This window comes from Homo sapiens, chromosome 5 (assembly GCF_000001405.40).
Source record: "Homo sapiens chromosome 5, GRCh38.p14 Primary Assembly".
Lineage (NCBI taxonomy): Eukaryota > Metazoa > Chordata > Mammalia > Primates > Hominidae > Homo > Homo sapiens.
In genome coordinates this window covers 56681875-56703096 of record NC_000005.10, presented here as the reverse complement: position 1 = coordinate 56703096, position 21222 = coordinate 56681875, and the positions used below count along the sequence as shown (strand labels likewise).

At 41.6% G+C, this 21222-nt stretch overlaps 1 annotated feature.

Moving 5' to 3' along the window:
- Positions 16340-16489: an enhancer, noted in NCBI's record as "active region_22570". NCBI's record gives its function as "activates an Ori minimal core promoter by ATAC-STARR-seq in GM12878 lymphoblastoid cells {active_cell/tissue: GM12878}" and the evidence as "EXISTENCE:reporter gene assay evidence [ECO:0000049][PMID:35858748]".

Here is a 21222-nt window from a genome sequence, read left to right as displayed (position 1 = left end):
TGTCTCAGAAAAGCACTTATTTGCACTCAATGACAATGACTTTATTCTTGGATTTTTACCACCTCCACCTTTCTTGGACTGTGTTATTTTCTCTCCAGATGTGCACAACATCTTACAAATTAAACTTCAAGATAGAAACAAAGGTTTGATGCTTGAATACCGTTTGGTAATACATGCTTGCTTATATTTGTAGTGTAGAGACTATTTTAATCAATTTGATGCATCTTAATAATTATGCATTTGATAGAGAATATTATGTTCTGTAGCATTTCTGGGTCAATTCCCTATTAGCTCTTGTTCTGCTAGTCTGCTTGTAACATTCTGTAGACCCCTGGCACCATTTTCAAAACTGAGGTCCTGAGTGCATTTGGGGGATTGGCAAGCAAAGTTGGGTAGTAAACATGGTACACTTTCCTGTAATGTGTTTCTTTATTTGATTGAAATGCACAAATATGGATATATTATAGAATAGAGGCAAAATGTATATGCATTTCCAAGATAATATGACATCGTGAAGAAATTCCACATCTAGAGCTGGTTGCTCTGAAATGCTTCCTGGACCTCTCTGCCTCTGTCCTCCTTACCTCCTCTCCCTAGGTTTGCTTTCACTCTACTCTTGTTCGGGGTGCTCTGGAGGAATTTACTGAAGCATAACCTTGGAAAGATGCTGGACTGGAGTTAGGATAATCTTGTCTCTACTACTTAGTAACCATGTTATTGCAAGCAGAGACCTTAGATGATCTGATCTGAGCCTTATTTCTCTATCTGAAGCATGGAGAGATGTTCTTACCTATCTCACACAGTCACAAAGATTGAAATGTAATTAGATTGCTAATATTAAACTTGACTTTGGTCTCCCATGCAGTAAAATGACTATAAAAATTCAAATCTTTTTTTTTTAATTGCAAAAGCAGGATTCTTGAAGATGGGACCCTGATCTTTCTGTGTGCTATTCCATGTTTTTTCTTAACCTTAATTTATTTCCTAACGGCCTTAAATTCTTTTGACTCAAATGCTCGTTGCGTATTAGATACATTGGAATATTTTTTTCTTCTACAAGGAAATATACCCTCTCAGCACTCACCTATCTAGTCACTCAGGTTTCTCTTCAGACATCACTTGTCAGAGAAGCTTTCCCTGACCAATGACACATCTGCCCCTTTCACCCCATCCTAACTAATCCTCTTCTCTCACCCTACCCCTACCTTTTCCTCTCATGTTTCATACCACTACCTGATGATATATTATGTATTTGTTTATTGTCTATCTCTCGCAAATAAGAAATAGCTCCTCAAGTGGGGGGTAGAGGAGAGCATTGTCTTTTTTTTCTCATTGCTATATCCCCAGTGTTTAAAACAGTACCTGACTCATAGTCGGCCCTCAATAAATATTTGTAAAATGAAGGAAAGAATGATTTTTGCTTCTTGAAAGATATGCCATCCCTCAGGTCTTTCATGTCCCCATATTTGATAGCAACATGGGAAAAGGATATTTCTTTATGCTAAAATACCAACATTGTAATTTTCATGAGAAATGGCAACTGATCGTTGACTTTAGAGTAGGGCAGACCTATGGGAGTAGTGGGGACTGGGTGTGTGGGTGCATGGCTCATCTATCCGGGAGGGAGGGGTCAGTGGAAACTTCTGCTCTGGCCTCCTCTTACATTGCAGTAGTGTGGGCCCAGTGTTGCCATAGCGTCTGATCTCTAATAAACATGCTGGAAAGCTGCGTTACGAAATGGAAATCTTTTGATTTTTAAATATTGGCTCAAAAATGTTTTTCAAATAATTTGCATGCTGAACAAAATACTACTTTGATTGCTTTGTAACCTCTTCAGTACGCCCTTTTCAGCCCCCAAGAAGCCTGAAGGATAGGGAGGGACACATACACATGCTTAAAATGTCCTGCTAACCCTTATGCCCTACTTCTAGCCACTTGGGCTACAGAATGGGTGGGCTCCGAAGCTCCATGAATGGCCTGATTAGGTCCAACAGAAATTTACAGGTTGTGACAAGGGACATGGAGCGAAGAGCCCTAAACTCCAAATTCAAAATTAACCCAGTCCAGATCCCTCTCCCTGTGTGGGCCTCACTTTACCGTGCTCCCTTCTGCAGCTCCTCCCAGCTTCTGCTAATTTTGTTTTGCTCTTTCATGTGTATTAGGCTCAGAGCACTTCCTACCCATACACATCCTTCTTTGAGCCCTGACCACGTCCTGTATAAGCTCCTAACATGGCATTGGTATCTCCCTCACAAGCTCATAAGAAACCTGGGGATTTCTGATGGCTGTGAATTACTGATTTTTGTCCCCCAACAGCGCCTAGTATGAAAATTTGCCCATACATCCTGCACAAGAAACATTGGTTGAACTTGAGCTTCACAAGGGCAGGGATCTGGTCTGTCTAGTTCCTAGAATGATGATTAACACTAGAACAGGGTCAAACGGTAGTATACAGCTGGCACTCAATAAGTACTTGTTGAATGAACGAATGACTGACTGCTTTCCTCACTTCACATTTTCTATGTCTTTGATACACTGAGCCGCCTTGACTGGGACTGAATTTCCACCGTTCATTGCCTCTTCCACACAGTTCCGACCCTGCTATCCTGATGCGGAGGGAGCCATTACCATGAGTATGAGAACCATGCCCTTGAAATCCTTCCACTAGCAGATGCTCAGCTTGAAGAATGATTTTCCTTTAGGATATGTTTTTTTTAATTGATATCTATTAGATAGATTATCATTATATGCAAGGCTCATATGTCGTGAAAAAAGTTAAAAGAAAGTCTTCAGAGCTGAAAACAGCTCCTGATTTACTAATATTCATTCTTATCACAGGAAAGCACAAGTGATGGTGACCAGCAGCTTCTAAACTCTGTTGATGCGGTGGCTTGATCAAGATAGTCAAACATCTGAGTTTCTGTCTGCCCCAGCAAGTCACATGCAGCATCCAAAGGAATTGCAGAACAGTTTCATCCCCGGCGTGGTTCACCCAACAATTTACTCTGCCTGTGGACACTGTCCCCTGACCCCTACAAGATTTTCTCCTTTACCGCCCATCCCCTGATATGTCCTCACACAAATCCACTTTGCAGTGACTTTCAATATCAGTTGAACTGGGGGTGGAAAAAAAAGAAAAAAAAGAATCTTAAAGGAAAAAAAATCTTCTTTGCACAGGTGCAATGACCTCCCTTGATGAAGAAAGGCTCCCCGGGTGCCTACAGCAGAACCCAGTTCTGCACAATAACGCCGGCTGCAATGTGAGGCTCCGGAGTAATGTGATCTGTTTTCACACAGCCTAGTGTTAGGGTGCTGCTGCCACTCACTCTAAAGGTTACTATCTCTCTTTTATTGTAATTACAAAAGCTAACTGCAAAACCCGAAACCTTGCTGGGAAATTGCCTGCCTACACAAAGAACACAGAGACCCTATCGTTTCAGAGTTTAGTTCTTTCCGAGCTTCTTTATAAAGGAGTTTTTGTCTGCCTCTGAGGCTCCAACCATGGAGGAGCTGCGGATCAAGGTTAGCTGATGGCTTGGAGTGTTTCAATGGAGAAGGCTCTCTTTGGAGGTTGGCATATAGGTGCTTTACAATTTAGCTTGCAAAAGTTAAGTAAAACTGCAGCTGTGCTACAGTGTAGATGGTGGGAAGAGCGAAGACAGAGAGAGAGAGATTCCTACTAAATGATGTCTTCTGTTATTTCAGATCCCATCAGCTTTCCTTGAAGGAGGTGTTATAGTGTATTCATTCTCCCACTGTTTGCTTTCATCACTCTCACACTCAAGGTTTGAATACAATAATCACAATGCAGAGAGTGTTGGGAGGTATTTATTTTTATCCCAACTGCCAGCATCATCACAGTGTGTGTGATCCAAATTTACACTCTGCATATACACAGCATGTGGCCCTGCTGCCGAGCCAGCTGCTTTCCCTAAGGCTGAGGCATGGTTAAGTTTCAAGTTTTGCCTTATCAAAACTGTGATAGCAAAAATGTGTGAGTGAAACCCATACTCAGGGCAGCTTACTTAGCAAATATTGAAACCTGTGATTTGTTGTTCATTGGAAGTCAAGAAAGAAGACTGTGTGTGTGTGTGTGTGTGTGTGTGTGTGTGTGTATGCTAGTTATTGCAGACGGGGCAAATTCTCTAAACCAACACCCATTCTCCCTGCTCTCCTTACCAACAGAAGCTTGATTTCTCAGGCCAGCAACGTGCTCAGTTCAAAGATAGCTTTTCCTTTGAGATAGGGTGTGGCTGTGTGGCCCTGCTCCGGCAGACTAGATTTATTTTGTGGGACTTCCAGGAAGGCTTCTTAAAAGGGAGGGAGGAGACTTTTGTCCCAAATCCTTTCCTTTTCCTCCTGGCTGGAAAGCTGATAGGAAGCTAATGCCCTCATCAGCCATCCTGGACTCTGAGGTGGATTCAAAGATAGGCTATGTGTGTCAGTGTCTGGAGCAGAAAGACAGAAGGTCTTAGTCCTTGGAGACTCTGCTGCGCCACTGCACAGCCCTGACCTGCCTACCTTAAAATGCATTTTTATGTGAGAGAAAATACCTTTGCATGTTTGAGCCACTATTTTGGGGTCCTCTGTAGCCAAATGCAATTTCTAACTGATAGATCAACTTGAGGTTTAACACTAACTGAGGCCAGATTCTATGGGTTAATTTGCACAGAGTACAGAGAACAATGCTGGCACTGAGTGCATAAAGACTAGCTGTTAATACCTGCTTGGGGAATTGTTACATTTACTAATCATCTCTGAGTTTACACTTTAATGCAGAAATATCCATTGTGATTGGCTTTATGCTATGATTAAAAGGTCTCTATAAAAATGTAGACTGAACTTGGTTGTCCTATTCAGCATTCGATCCATGAAATTTGAGGGTGTATTAGTTTGTTTCTTTATTTATTCACTCAGGAAATATTTATTTAGTATTTGCTTTGTGTAAGGCAGAGCTTTAGATATTGGTGGGACTTCTAAGGGGTAGTTACACAAAGAAAAACTAGAGGTAGACCCTGACTTCAAACTAACGGACTAGGAAAGGAGATAATTAAAAATAATAATAACCATGTTTACTTAGCACTAACTATACCAGATGCAGTATTTATATATATATATTATCTCACTGAATATTAATAACAATCCTTTGAAATACATGAGTTCTATTATTTTCTTCATTATACAGGTAAAGAGAGATGTACAAAGAGATAAATAGTTTGTGCGAAGATAGAGTAAGCAGTGAAATGGGAATTTACCAAAGACATTTGTGCACTCTTAATCTCTGCAATACCTATAACAATTCAACAATTTATTTGCAAGGCCCTGCACTGTGTTGTAGGGGAGCGGTTCTCAAAGTGTGGTCCTGGGACCTGCAGCTGCAGCGTTGCCTGGAAAATGTCAGAAATGCACATCATTGGCCTCCCCCAGTCCTACTGAATCAGAAACTCCGGGGTGGGTCCAGCCATCTGGTTGTTTTGTTTTGTTTTTGTTTTTCTGAGATGGAGTCTTGCTCTGTCGCCCAGGCTGGAGTGCCGTGGCATGATCTCCACTCACCACAACCTCCACCTCCTGGATTCAAGTGATTCTCCTCCCTCAGCCTCCTGAGTAGCTGAGACTACAGGTGCTTGCCACCATGCCCAGCTAATTTTTTTTTTTTTTTTTTGTATTTTTAGTAGAGATGGGGGGGGGTTTCACCATGTTGGTCAGGCTGGTCTCGAACTCCTGACCTCAGGTGATCTGCCTGCCTCGGCCTCCCAGAGTGCTGGAATTACAGATGTGAGCCACCACGCCCAGCCCCATCTGGGTTTTAACAAGTCCTCCAGGTGATTCTGATGCCCCTTGAAGTTTGAGAACCACTGTAGTAGGGAATAAGTAGATAAGTGAAACTTATTTAAGTTAGTAAGAGGGAAAAGCAAGTATAAAAATAACTATAACTCAAGGCAGATGAGTTCACGTGCACAAAGGAGGCCTGGAATCCTGCCAAATTTGAGTTTGCTGCCAGATTTTCTGACTTTTCAAGAGAAACAGTGAGTCCAGATTTTAAGAGGGAATTTCCCAACTTTAAATGTGAAGATGAAATCAAGTTAAAAAAAAAAAAACAGCCAAATAAAACCTGTCTTCAAGGCCAGTGCCAGCCTGAGAGCCCCTGCTGAGGACAGCAGAGAGGCAGTCAAGGTAAATTTAGGCACACACAGGCAGGAAAGAGTCTACTTCTCTGTGTAATTTGTATCCAAAAACTAATAGGAAAATCAGACAGAAAGGTCAAAAGATAGGTTTGTATGTTCTGAGACAGTTCCTATTCCTCAAGAGCTAGAAAATTTTAATTTTACCTCCCTTTTAAGACATAATCTTCAATCGTATATATCTAGATTTCTACATGTTTTTTTCTCATCTTTTTTCTTTTTATGTTTTGTATAATTGAATCCAAAGTCAACCAGCTTAATCTGATGTCTGAATTGGGATTAAGGGCTCATTGCTTATGGCTTTTCTGAGGATTCTCATTTTTCTTTTAATTGTATTAAATCTAGCAACCTGTACTTTTTAACACTATCCACAGTTTTCATTTATTCATTTTCTCATGTTTTCATTTAAAATAACATAGGCAAATGCAAGAAGAAAGCTTCAATTTTTTTTTTTTTTTTGCAAAAGTATTGTTTTTTTAAGGGAATCCCAATAAGTAAAAATAGATGTCAGAGGAATTTCTCTGACTCAACCAGGAAGAAGTGAAGAGATACCTTCTGGGGGCTCCACTTGGGACCCGTTGGAGCTATGTTTGAAAATCACTCTAACAAAATATCCAAATATTAGGTTGGTGCAAAAGTAATTGTGGTTTTTACCATTATGTTTATGGCAAAAACCACAATTTCTTTTGCACCAACCTACAAGTGCAGAAAGAAAATCTGGAATCCTAATAAAATGGTTATACTGCCAACTTTTTGCTAGAAGATAGCAGCCTGGCACAATAGTTTGAAATGTTCATTCTCCAACTTCTTTATTTGATAAACATTTATCGAGTGCCCTTGGCACTGTGGCTGTGTGAAAGTTCCATAAAGGTGTATGAAATAAAAGTTAGAGGGTCGATGTCTGGCAGACGTTGCTAGTTGCCTTCTGTGGTGTCTGGACTCCAAGACAGCCCCAGAGATGCCCAACTCTTGGTATTCACACCCTTATGTAATGGAGTCAGGGTGCCCAACAGAATACAGCAGAAGTGATGGAGTATCACATCAGAGATTAGGTTATAAAGGCCGTGACTTCCATCCAAAAGTCTTTTGTTCCCTTCATCCTTGCTAATAGGTCTCCAGTTTCTTTCAAAGCAGCAATGTGTCCAAAAACAAAACTAGAATGACAACTGCGACAAAATCACATCTCCTCTCCTGGAGTTTCTCCTCTCCTGGCCAGCGTTATACTTGGAAGGTTTCTAGGAAAGCTTTGGTTTCCCTGTACAGGCACCACCCTCTTCCTGCTCTTCTTGTTTCCTGTCATATAAATGTGATGTTGGTAGTGGAGCAGCCCTCTTGTAACCATGAAGCAACTATGAGAATGAAAGCCACATGGTTAGGAGAATGCAGCAAGAAGCCAGAAGAAATCTCCATCCCTAATGGCTTTGTGAATCTATTATACCTTCTCTCCACTATCTACCTCTAGAGCAGAGCTGATTTGTATGTATATTGTAGCATGAATGGTGTCTCCTGGCATTGTGAGTGCCAAACTTTGCCTGGGGCAAAGCTGGATGATGTCTCGCCTACAAAGAACGAACTTGTCAGTTTGATTGTTGATACTTCTCACTTTTGGGAATGTGCTCACATGCTAAGAACTACAGAAAATTGTGTTCTGATGGATGGTAGATGGGAGGGTAGGGTGAGAGAGAGCATGAGAAAATAAATAAGCACTTCACTCGAAGTGTCCTGTTTTCACGGCACTGTGCCATATTTTATTTATTTATTTATTTATTTTTTTTTTTTTGAGATGGAGTCTCACTCTGTCGCCCAGGCTGGAGTGCAGTGGCTCAATCTCGGCTCACTGCAAGCTCCGCCTCCCGGGTTCACGCCATTCTCCTGCCTCAGCCTCCTGAGTAGCTGGGACTACAGGCGCCCGCCACCACGCCCGGCTAATTTTTTGTATTTTTAGTAGAGACGGGGTTTCACCGTGGTCTCAATCTCCTGATCTAGTGATCCTCCCGCCTCGGCCTCCCAAAGTGCTGGGATTACAGGCTTGAGCCACCGTGCCCGGCCCGCAGTGTGCCATTTTATAAGGTCATGTCCTCTCCGTAAACACCTCTGATATCTTCCCAGGTCTAGTTTTTGCGTCTGCCTCTGTGCTGTACTTTATTCTTGTCCTACCCACTTCGAAACTGTCCTTTGAGGGCAGGGATCATATATTGTTTTATTTCATATTTTTTATAAACTTTTTCCAGCTTGATGTTTCACAAATATGTAAAATAATTTTTAATGGTTATGTGTTTGCTCTCTTTAATTAGGGAAAGTAATATAAGTTTCTGTCCATAGCAGGGATAAGCTTTCCTTTAAAAATACATTTCTTTACTTTTTAAGAAATGAGTTGATTTAAATAGAAATACTGACAGCCCAGGTCATGTGTAGAAAAGGCACAAGGTAAAAATTGTGAAGGTGGCACTAGAGATTGCCAAGCACTGACACAGGTGCTCAGTTAATGTCATTGGAACTGAACTGGGAGGAGAAAGCAGATGTGCTTGGGTCTGTTTTGGTCGGGGGAGGGAGGAGAAGGATGAGGATCAGCACAGTAAGGTAGGGGGGATAAGGAGAGGGGGAGACAAGAAGGTGAAAGGGGACGGGAGAGAAGCTTTAGGGTTGGAAGCAGGGTGCATCAGAGCCACTACTTGAAAAGGGAAGGGAACAAACAGTTTTATTGTGAGTCCACAGAGTATCAAGCCCTGCACTGGGTGTTTTATACACATTATTTAATTTCAACATGAAGGAGAATGATGTAGGGAAAAAGAATTGGGGACCATGTGGGGAGTATAAAAGAAAATGAGCCCTAAAACTGGAGAAAGGGGATGAAAAATGTGGGAGATGCCCTACATTTATCTAGAGGGAATCTTATTTAGGGCATGGGTGGATGGATGGTGTGTATGGAACTGTTTTGTTATGCAGCTGCAGGACAGGCACTTTGCCCTGAGATTTATGTAGAACATTCCCCTTGTTTTCCCACAATGCACTCCTCATAAAGGGGCTTCCTTCCCAGAGCATGTGTAAACTGAGGTCAGAGTGTTGATTAACCATTGAGGTATCCACTTTCAATCCTGTGTTGTGTATGGCAGCGTAGGGGACAAAAAGGAAGATTGCTCATTTATTTATTTGTTTATTTTATTTATTTATTTTTTTGAGACAAGATCTCGCTCTGTCACCCAGGCTGGAGTGCAGTGGCACGATCATGGCTTACTGCAGCCTCAACCTCCTGGGCTCAAGTGATCCTGCTGCCTCAGCTTCCTGAGTGGCTGGGACCACAGGCGTGTGCTACCATGCCTGGCTAATTTTTTTAAGTGTTTTGTAGAGATGGGGGTCTCACTATATTGCCCAAGCTGGTCTCAAACTCCTGGGCTCCACCTCCCAAAGTGTCGGGATTACTGTCATGAGCCACTGTCCCTGGCCTAGTTTTTTCTTTATAGTTTAGATTTTCCCTCTGATAATTCTTCGCTTGCTATTTTTCAAATGTAATGGCAGCCTGGGGACTGGTGGGCGAGCGGTGGGGGTGCAGGATGACTCACCCAGGAGTCAAACCGAAGATCTCAGAATGTCTCTCTTATTTGTACTCTGATAAAGGCAAGTTCAGTTCATATTTATGAGAGAGTACCATAATAAAAGCAAACAAACAAAACAACAACAACAACAAAAAAAAACAAACAAAAAAACTCCCCAAAGCCAAAAAAACATTAAATCAACCTTTAAGTTCCGGTGTGGTGCAGCAGTCCTAATTTACCCTTTGTGATTTCTTTTATGTCTTGCTTCCAAATGGCAATGAACATGTCTTTCCACCACTCTGGGGAGGAAATAAGAAGTTACTCACAAAGACAGGTGGGGCTCAATCTGCAGAGCCAGGACACCTTGGACCTTGGCTGTTACAACCCAAAATACCTTTTTCGTTGTGTTTTAGATCTATACTTGTTTAAAAGTTGTTTTTAACTCATCCTCTGGGGAGCTCGGGTGATGGGGAAATAACTATTTCAACAGTTTGACCCTCTCGCATGCCCATCTTGGGAACCAGACGGCTGGGCTTGGCCAAGAATAAATGGAACTTGAGTTTCAAAACCTTCCTACCCAGTAAAGTTTCAAATTTGTAGCCTTTGAAGACAGAGAAGATGTGAAATGTAGCAAACTGCGTTGGACATTAACCAACAATTGTTTGGAGAATTCTCTTGCTTTTTTGGACAAGAAACCCTTGACAGCCATGATTTTAAAAATCCTTCTTTATAATCTTCTGGGTAACTGGGACTGTACGACCTCTGAAACCCTCTTATCTGCCTAAACATTCTTTGATCCACCCACCTTAAGCAGAACAGGAAAAGGTTTTGTTTGGTTTTGTTTTTAGGCGTTGTCGCACCCTAATGGAAACTTTTTAGGTTGTGTATTAGACTGGCCAAATTAAAAACATCTAAATACAACACCTCAAAACGTGTTGTTTATAATTCAGTGTGGAAATGAATAGAAAGTAAATTCAGCTTTGGGTTAAAAAAAGTTTTAACAAAAGTTATCTCAGTTGAGGAAACTCCATTCTGTTAATTTGATGTTCTCGTCCTTTCCAATCTCCTCACTCCCTTTTTGCTGTCGTTTGAAATCATAATCCATTGAAATCAACTAAATCTATTAAAATCTATCAAATCAACTTCTGATAACTGTTAAAATTCTTTTGTCATGTTAGGACTTCAAAAATGGCATCAGTTCAGTTACTTTGCTATTATAACCCCTTTGCGGGTAGGGAGATTAAGAAGTAATATGTAGAACAAAAGAAGAAACCACACAAGAGATGAAGAAAATTAAATTAATTTCCAGCTATGTTGTAATCTTAAGAGAAAGCAAAATGTACCTCCTAAATGAGTATCTATATATTCCATATATATGTATTTACACACACACTCACACACACACTCAATTTCCTTGGAACAGAAAATTATCAAGAGAATTTGAACTTTTAGTCAATTATCATTTCCCCAACATATGGATACCTTGTGATATATTCTTAAATAGAGGTGCTATTAGAATTTTTGGAGCTAAGTTATACTGAAAATATGACCAAACTTTAAAAAATACATAAGAATGAAGGAAATGAAACTGAATACTTACTAGGACTTCTGAAGCCTACTCTGAATTAAAATGAGGTAGAAAAAATAAACTATAGTTGCCAGGTGAGGACTCACATTGTCTCACTTGGAAATGGGGACATGAGCCCTTGGTACAATCATCTTTTTATCACTGGAAGAATTAAAGGACTTCCCACATCAGTTACTCTTTGATTGTTCCAAAACCCAAGTCCAAGTTCCTGTAATGCCTGGCAGTAACTTCTTCTGACCCAAAGTAAAGGTTAGTAGAACATAGCATTTCCAGGCTGTGATGTTAGAGGCACAAATATGACATGCTAATGTTACTTTTTAAACGTTACTCTAAGAAAAGATTTAATCTCTGCACTATTACTTGTGTTACTATCTACTGATGTAAAGAAAGCCATGACTTCTAGATTGGTGGATGGATTTTGGTGACAATCTTGAATTAGAATCTTGGCTTTACTACATTTTCATTTTGTGAACCTAGGCAAGCTAACTTCTCTGAGACATAGTTTCTTGCCTGTAAAATAGGTATAATAATAACCTCTAATGGGGTTTTGTGAGGATGGAGTGAGAAAATAGGTAAATCACCTGCTTAGTAGAGATCATTCCCCCATTGTCCTTTTCTAGGACTCACAGGTTTTTAAATTGCTAACATTAAGGATTCTCACACTTTACCATTGAAACTACTTTTTTAGGTTTCTTGGAAGTGTTTTTGTCTCTCCTGATCTTTAATATCCTTCTTCTATGTGTTTCCTTTTTCATCCCTATTCTTCCCTCCTTGATCTGATATTCACCCCAATACATATTTAAACCTCCCATCTTGGTTTTCTCTATCCAACTTTACTTTCTTCCTTTTTTCTTCCTGGCAACCAAATAACTTCTTTGATCCTGAGTACTTTATCACTCTCCAGGAACAATTCAGCTATGCATATTGCCTGTAAAAACATTATGGCATTACAAATAATTTTCAAGGAAAAAATTCTACCAATACATCCTCTTTCTGTCTCTGATCATACGCTTATATTTTAAAAATGCATTTTGTAAATAATATTTGTAAATAGTGTAGTGCAACGGAAAAAGTACAGAAAGAGGGAGATCAGTTCCTGTTCAGCTCTTGTGATCCTTGGTCGGTCCATTTATCTCTTAAAACCTCAATTTCTTCATCTGTTAAAAAAAAAAAAAAAGGCAGTTGGAGAGGTTATCCCTGTGTTCTCTTTCAGCTTTAAAAATGGTCTATGAATTGGTATCTCTATAAAAAGGCAATGTTCTTCCTATACTGGCTAACCCAGGAATGCAACTGATCACATATCATTATTTGCTTTTTTCACTGAGTTCCTTTGTGTGAGTGCAGAGAATAAGCAGAAGACAAGATTCTGTAGCACAGGTAGTAGGTAGGACATGCTGCCTGATGGGTCAGTACCCTCTTGGCCACCTTCTACCACTTGGGCCTGCTGATCTTTAGCCACACTGATGCTCTCGAATGGTTCTCTTGCTTGGTCCCCTGTAGGACAGGTCTCATAACCAAGTTTATGAAATGGCTGGACAAGATTAGAAGTTCAAGCTTTGGCCATGGAAAACAACAGATCTATTGGTCTGTGCCAGAAACAGATCACAAAAATCTCTCTGCTCTCATGAGCAGCAGCAGCAGCAGCAGCAGCAACATTTCACCAAGAGTGCAGGTCCAATCCGATGGGGATATCAGCTTCATGGGAGGCTGGGGGAGGACAGCAAGGAAGATCAGAAACAAACATGTTTAGAAAAATGTCCCCATTTTTCCACCTCAGGAATTGATTCTCAGAGTATGGTAAAATGCTTCCCTCCCCCTGAATGACAGTGAACCGAAAAGCCAGGACAGAGGTTTCTGTGTTAAAATGTTAATGTGAAGTCTCACTGTATTTTGAGTGCTTAAGGGAAAGCTAATGGGAACTTTCCAGGGAAGATGGTGGGTGTTGCTAACATGAAAATATGTATGAGAATTCCTAAATGGAGGCTTTATATGGTTCAGTTGGAGGATAATGAAATCCTAGCTTGTCGGGGATGGGTGGGTAGGGCAGAGGATGGGACTGGGTGAGAGTGGGGAGAAAGGGTAGAGAAGAAAGCCTGCTTTTGGACTCTGTGGGCTGGGGAGCTGCCTGTGTGAAGGGTCTAGAATGAAGGCTGATGGGGAAACAGAGCAAAACCGGGGCAGTGCCGGATGGAGAAACTTAAATGGCTGGAGAGCTAGACAGGAGGGAGGCCCCTGCCCAGAATGAGGATAGAAGCGTGGCACTGGACATGGAAAATACCAGGGGTTAGTTGAAAAAACAAAAAAAGAAATAATTCTTGAAGGACCATACTGGGAAGGACCTGTGGATTGAAAGGAAAGTGGCCTTTCAAAGTCCCGGTGAGTGATCATCAGCTTTGAACCTGTGCCAAGACAGTCAGGGTAATGGTTGCTTGGCTCTTTCTAACCTTTGTAGCTAAGGCCACGGCTGCCCAATTTGTCTAGGACTTGGGGGACAATCTTGTTTTTGCAAAGAAACTGGAACCCAAAGTTATAGTCCACAGTCATCATGGTGACCTGGGTTTTCAACTCCACTGCAGGGCCTGCTCCATCTTGTAACTGGCCTTTTGCCTTATTTCCTTTTGACTAAAACTCCATTTTGGGCCTTAGGAACTGCCCCTTTGTTTTACAGTTATATTTGATTGAGTACTGGCTACTGTGCTGGCACTCAACCTCACTATCTCATCTGTTCCTCATAATAACCCTATGAGTAAAGCAATTATTCCCAGTTGATAGATAAGAAAACTGAGGCTTACAGAGTTTTTGTTTTCTTGCTTGCCACAAATTATGGGTCAGAGCCAGGGTTTAATCCAGGCATTTTACCCCCAGAGCCCAGTGCTCTGGTCAGTGTCTTTCCCCCCTGCACCGGCTTCAACATTCAATCTCTGCCCTAATTCTTTGCAGCCCTGATTACACTGGGATGATCCTCCTGTATGTGCTGCTTTTAGTCCAGCCATTGAATACCTTCTACATTGTCTGCCTCCCTCATCTTTTGCTGATGATGCTCAGGGGTCTGCCTGCTCCCTGGGTCATGGTCATCTGACATGGACTGGTCCTGCTGCTTAGAGAGAACTCTGCTGGTAGTCCCTGAGCTCTCCTGCAGAGCTCCAACCATAGCAAGGTTCTCTCTGACTTAATCTGCAGTGAACTGGAGTTATGTGGGTGTACTCATGAGGACAGGCTGGAAGCAGTGTTCAGCCAGATAAGATGTGCACTCAGGGTGTGATGTTGGCTGGAGTGTAGGATCAGGCCTTCAGTGACCCCAAGTAGAAATGAGTCCTGTAGATTTTATTTCTAGATGAGCTGAGGAAGGACATTTTCCCCTTTAACGGTGAATTGGGGTCACTCCTTATGGGAATTTTTGGTATGCCTTGAAGGATTCTGCAGCAATTCATCTTGCACATGGCCTGCCCTTGGAGTGTGGGGCCTGGGGCTGTACACTGACATCCTGTTTTGGTTGGGCAGAGGTTCTTAGCCCTCGCCATTCATCACAATCACCTGAGTAGTTCCTAGGAACAGCTGAGCCCTGCGAGGCATCCTCAGAAGTGCAGCTTCAGATGGCCTGGAGTGATATCTAGACATCCATAGTTTTATAGAAATGTGCATAGAAAAGTGCAAAAATCAGGTGATTTTAATGCCCAGCCTGTGTTGCTAACCCCTCATGTGCTGGGTGGTTCTTGGGCAGGAACAGGAGCAAGGCAGGGTGACCTGATATTTTGCACTTTTTTATGAGATGCTTAGTTAGCTGTGGCCACAAAAGGAGACAGAGGAGAAGCTCAGCAAAACAAAGTTTATGCTCACAGGTCCTCGTGACAGGAGGCATGGTCGTGCCATGCAGGGGCACATGGAAAAACACCAGGGTGGTAGGAAGCAGAAGATAGGAACTGGGGGAAGATTTGGCCAGTGCCCCCAATAAATGGGGTTTTCATGAGAAAGGCAGGGCAGGGTAGACAGTTTAGGATTGGCTAGTTTGAATTATTTGGGGCAGCCTCTAAGATAGAGGGGTGGCCCCTAGTTGCCTGATACCTGGCCCTGGGTTAATTAAGGCAGAGGAATATTGCCTCCTTGGGTGCACAGGCAAGACTGGGTAGTTTTCTTATGAAAGGCTGGATTGGCTCATTTTCATATGAAAGGCTGAGCCCTTTGCCATCTCTAAGAATTGACTAGCCCCAAGAGAAACAGCCTCTTTCCAGCTAGAAAATAAAATAAAATTACACACACATGCGTGTGCACACACACACACAAAACCTGAGAAGAAAATAAATCGTTAATGTTGCTTTGCATTGTGAACCTTGAATATTGAGGAATGTAAATCTGATCAAAAAAAAGAAGGCTAGGCTCAGTGGCTCATGCCTATAATCCCAATACTTTGGGAGGCTAAGGCAGGAGGATTGCTTGAACCCAGAAGTTTGAGGCTGCAATGAGCTGTGATCCTGTCACTGCACCCCAGCCTGGATGACAGAGTGAGACCCTGGCTTAAAAAATAACAATAATAATAATACATAATAATTTTTTAAAAATTTAAAAATGAAAAAGAGCCAGGTAGATTCCTTAAAGTGTCCCAGAATGCTAGAGGAAGCTCACCATGTACTTGAAAGGTACCATGAGCCAGAGATTTAGAGAGGACACTGTAGCTGGGAGGCTGTTCTATGGGACTGGGAGTTGCTCAGCAGCAGCATGCATGAGGGAGCGTGCTTGGCTGGCAGGCTGCAAACTCTGAATTCTATGTGAATGTGGCCCCCAAGTTGCCCTGAAGCTTTGGACTGTTGTCTAATGAACTGCTCAAATGTGTTCAACTCTAGTAATCAGAGCTGCAAAGGCAGAAATGTGCTGGTGGGTGGGGGTGGGGGGGTGGGGAGAGAAATTTGGTAATTGGTTCCAGCCTGTGAAAGGCCAAGTAAAAGCGTGGATCATTATTTAAAGTGCAGTGGTCTTTGGATGATGGTTATGATGGTCCACATTTGATGCAAAAGAAAGCCAAATATATTTTAAACAGGATTCAAGAAATACAAAGTTAAGGATTTTCTTAGCAGAAAAGTAGAAAAGTGTGCATGCTGTTTACTTAGTTTTGCTCACATTTTTTTTTTTTTTAACTTTTTCAGTTCCTGTTTTTTAGCTTTTGTTTTTAAGCCTGTGGGCTCTCAGGGTCAAACTTAGGTTAATTGACGTGTTTTTTAAATCAAAGTTTTGAGATAAACCAAACTTTCATAGCTAGATAGTAAAGCCCTGATCACAAGGGTTTTAAAATCAAACAGGGGGTCTTTGCACACACGGAGCTCTGTGGCTTTGTGTCTGCATATGCATATGGCTACGTGTGAAGGCAGGAGTAAATGTTCCTTCAACTTGCTGAGCCTCCTCTGTAAATTGAGGGGTTTGGAACAGTGACCTGTAACTACAGAATATGGGCTAACAGTTGTTGGGCGCTTACTGTATGCCAGACACTAAATTCTTAACATGGATTATTTTATTTACTCCTCACCATGTTCCTAGATGTCCATACTATTATGATCACTGCCTCTGTTTAGAGATTAGGAACTGAGGTTTAGGGAGGTTAAGTAACTTTCTCAAGGTCACACAGCTAGTGAAGGCTGGAGCTGGGATTTTGATCCCAGACCCCATGATGATAATCACTCTGCTTACATGACCTCCCAAAATAACTTTGTCTCCACTTTGTTAAGATGAGTTCTCCAAGGCCAGCCCTCCACTGAGCCTATTTCCTCCTAGCCAAGTTGCGTTTTGTCATCTGTGCTGAGACATGAGTGGTTACACTGGGTCATGACTGTTAGGCCAACAGGTTAAGCTAATTCCAAATGTGGATAACTGAGTAAGAAGGACTTTAAGTTAGCTTTTCTTGATAACAGGAATGTAAGACTGTGAGCTGGAAGGAACACTACAGAATGAATCATTTTCATTAACAGCAACTTGCTGGTGCACCCATGTTCATAGCAGAGCTATTCACAATAGTCAAGAAGTAGAAGCCACACAAAGTGTATACGGATGGATGAATGAATAGACAAAATGTGGTATTTGCATGAGTAGAATACTATTCAGCCTTAAAAAGGAAGTTACTACATGGATGAACTTCAAGGACATTATGCTAAGTGAAACAAGCCAGTCACAGAAGGACAAATACTGTATGACTTCACTTCTATGAGATATCTAGAGTATGTGAAGTCATAAAAATAGAAGGTAGAAGGTGGCTGCCAAGGGCTGGGGAAGGGAGAAACAAGGAGTTGTTTAATGGATAGAAAATTTTAGTTTTGCAAGATGAAAAGGTTCTGGAGACTCATTGTACAACAGTGCAAATATACTTAACACTATTGAACTGAACAGTGAAAATGGCTAACATGATTAATTCTATGTATATTTCACCACAATTAAAACACAAACAAATAAAAGAATAAGTAACATTCTTGATCTGTGCACTGAAAATTGGTCTTAAGCCAAAATAACCTTACTGTCACATACCTTTAAAGAGATGCTTACAGTCTTTCTTTATGGGGGGAATTGTGAACATGAATTTAATGATTTGTCTTGAATGTTAATTTATTACTCTGAGTTTATTGTGCATCTATAGTGGTTAGAGGGCACAATAATTGTACCTACAGCATAGGGAATGTACAATGCATTTGGATCACTTAGCATAGTGAAAAATAAAATATTTGGAGAAATGACAAATTTTAAAAAGCAATTTTCCAGTTTTAAAATAGAAATACATAGTTTCTCCAAATTAATGCACTGGCAGATTGCTTTTTCACCTTACAGAATCTCTAAACACATCCACACGATTATATGAGGACCAGAACTGTCTTTCTGGATAACTGAGTACAGAACTATGCCAAGCCTTCCGTATAGACTAGTGAGCAGAACAAGTCTTCCTGGATGAACAGCCACTTCTGGGAAAACTAGGTGGAAATGCAGATTCAGCAACTCACAGCCCGGAACCTTTAGGTAAATTTTAACACAAGAGAATTGTCTCATGTACTGGCAGTAGCTCCTTCTGGAATGTATGCCCTGATGGACTTCATTCAGGGCAGGTTGCTGAAAATTTGTGTAGGATGTAAAAATCTGAATAACAGATTAGGAAGGAGCCCCAAGAAACAGTGTGGTTCATCAAGCTGCAAAGGCAGGATGTCTAAGTTTGGTTCCCCAAAAGCAAGCCCGACAGTAGATCTCACGTGCAGGTAGTTTATTTAGGAGTTGAACCCAAGAAGCAGGAATGAGGGGATGGAGAGAATGTGGCAGAAAGGAAAATATTAGGGTATGTTATCAAGGCTGATGCTGTGGACAACGGGAGCATGGTTACCCTGGCGTTCTAAGAAGTGCATGGAAAGTCTCCAGATTGTCCTTTGTTATGCTGGAGCCTGGGGCACTTCTTCACAGTTCTCACGCCTCATTGCTTGAGGATTTCCAAGCTGACTTGAAAGTGGCCTGCCTGGGCTCCCACACCTTCACAGGAGGTCCTGAGGCAGAAAGCAAGAAAATGACCTGAGATTTCTAGAACTCAATGCCAAAACCAGGGCTGAAATCAGAGGTGGGCTGAGGAGATGTGATGTGAGCACAAAGAGTTGACTGGGAAGTCACTTAATATGAGTCCTTGTAAGCCACTCATATTAAGTCCTTGTGGCATACATGGAGAAAGGCAGTGTGGTGTAGTGGTTAAGCCTGTGGGCCTGTATCAGACAGCCTAGGTTTGAATCCTGATTTCATCAACTTTATCAGGCACATGTTCTTGAAGAAGCCACTTTTCTTAGTCCATTTGAGCTGCTGTAACAAAATACCTTAGACTCAGTAATCTGTAAACAGAAATGTATTGCATACAGTTCTGGAGGCTGCAAAGTCCAAGATCAAGGAACTAGCAGATTCAGTGTCCGGTGAAGGCTGCTCTCTCTGCTTCAAAATGGTGCCTTCTTGCTGTGTCTTCACATGGCAGAAGGGGCAAGGGAGCTTCCTTGAGTCTCTTTTATAGGGGCACGAATCCCATTCATAGGGCAGAGCCTCATAACTTATCACTTTCCAAAATGCCCCACCGCTTAATACCATCACACTGGATATTAGATTCCAGTATAAGAATTTTGGGGGTACACAAACATTCAGATCATAGCAATGCTTAACTTCCCTATGCCTTGGTTTTCTCATCTGTGAGATGGTGCTATAAAAGCTTCCTGGCAATGTCACATAGATGGTCTAGATCATCCAGGTGGCACACTTAGCATTCTGGCAGTTATAATGATACAGCAGGTTGACTTTCCCAGGGCCTCAGAATTACTTAGAATGACTCAATCAGAAAACCTGCTGTGTAAGCTTTTTGTCAAAATCCTGAATAAGCCCAGACCAATATGTCAGTGCTGGAAAGGATTAATGGCCTTAATTGATGGCATGGAAATAAGACTTTTCATCCACTCATCTAGGATGGATTTGGCAAATTCTGTAGAAGATGAACGAGATGCCTTGTTTTTTAAACTAGATTTCCACTCTCACCTTTTTAAGGGGCCTGCTAGTTTTCCCTGTTGACAATATTCCTTTAAAACACCAAATCCCCATGATCCACGTGACATGAAGAATTGCCCTGAAGGTACAGCCACAGGCACCTTCAGCCTTACCCCTAGAATCATTCTTGCTCTGGAGGATGCCTATACCTTAAGGAGATGCCTCTGGTCCTTTCTACTAGGTTTTATGGTTTTAAAAAATTGTACAGTGGACATTTTCCTGCATTTTGGAGGGAAACAATCTGGAGAGGCTGTTCAGGAATGGGCAAGACTAATATCTCTATGGCCATAGACTCCTGACAGAAACATCGCTGATGTGGTCCCAGGAAGTCAGTGACTGATATGAAAATCCCAAATTGAATTTTAAGCCTGGAGTTTAGCCATTTTCCCTCTATTGGGAGTTTTCATAATGGAAAATAATACAAGTTATTCTACTAATTCGGAGCATTTTTGCATTATACAACTTCTCTTGATTATAATGGGTGACTGAGGAACGGGAACCCCACGGGGGAAGAGAAAATTAAGGCCCTGCAAAGCCTAGCAAGATACTGTTGCATGTTTCCTTGGTGAGCTGCTCTGAATTTTTGCTTATATCCTTCTCTCTTTGGTTTAAGATTGGGTGTTCAAATCAGCAGAATCACAAAATAAAAGCCAAAGGAGATGGAGAAGACTGATATTACTGAGTGTGTGGTTTGAAACACTTGGGTTTATTCTGTCAACCTTGACCAATGGGGTATGTATATTTTAGGTTATGATAATAACATATAACTATGAAACTCCTCTATTGTTAGTTATCATGTCTGAAACTTTCCAATCCTAACCCTAATCATCTTCCCCTTCCACTGAAACAACTATCTTAATATCCCAGTTTTTGATAAAACATAATATTTAAGAATCTACTATCACATTATAGCAGAACGAACGGTCCTGTTGGATGTTTTAGGGACTTAGTTCCAAATACTGCGAAAACTTCTATCTGTCCCCTACAATTGTTTGCTATTCAGTGATCCTGACATTGTTTATTGCTCAGGGTGGTTATGACCTGTGTTACCATCATGCTATGTTAAAGTTCAGTGGTGACCTGACCTGTATTCTAGTGTTCAGAGCCATCATTTTGCATTAAGTAGACACTCACTGACCTGCAGGTGTTTTTAGTTTCTGCCCACTCTTTGTCTAAAAAGCAAACCAGAGAAAGAGAAGACACTGAAGCAACAGAAGGGAAGCCACAACCACCCTGATGGTGGTGCCTTCGCGCTGTAAGGGTATTTATTTCTGCGTGATGATCCAGAGCGGTGGGGGGGAAGGCAGCGTGGAGCATAGTAGGTCTGAGCACCTACTATGAGCTCAGCACTATGGTAGGGGATGGATAAGAAAGTACAATAAAGTTCTCTGTT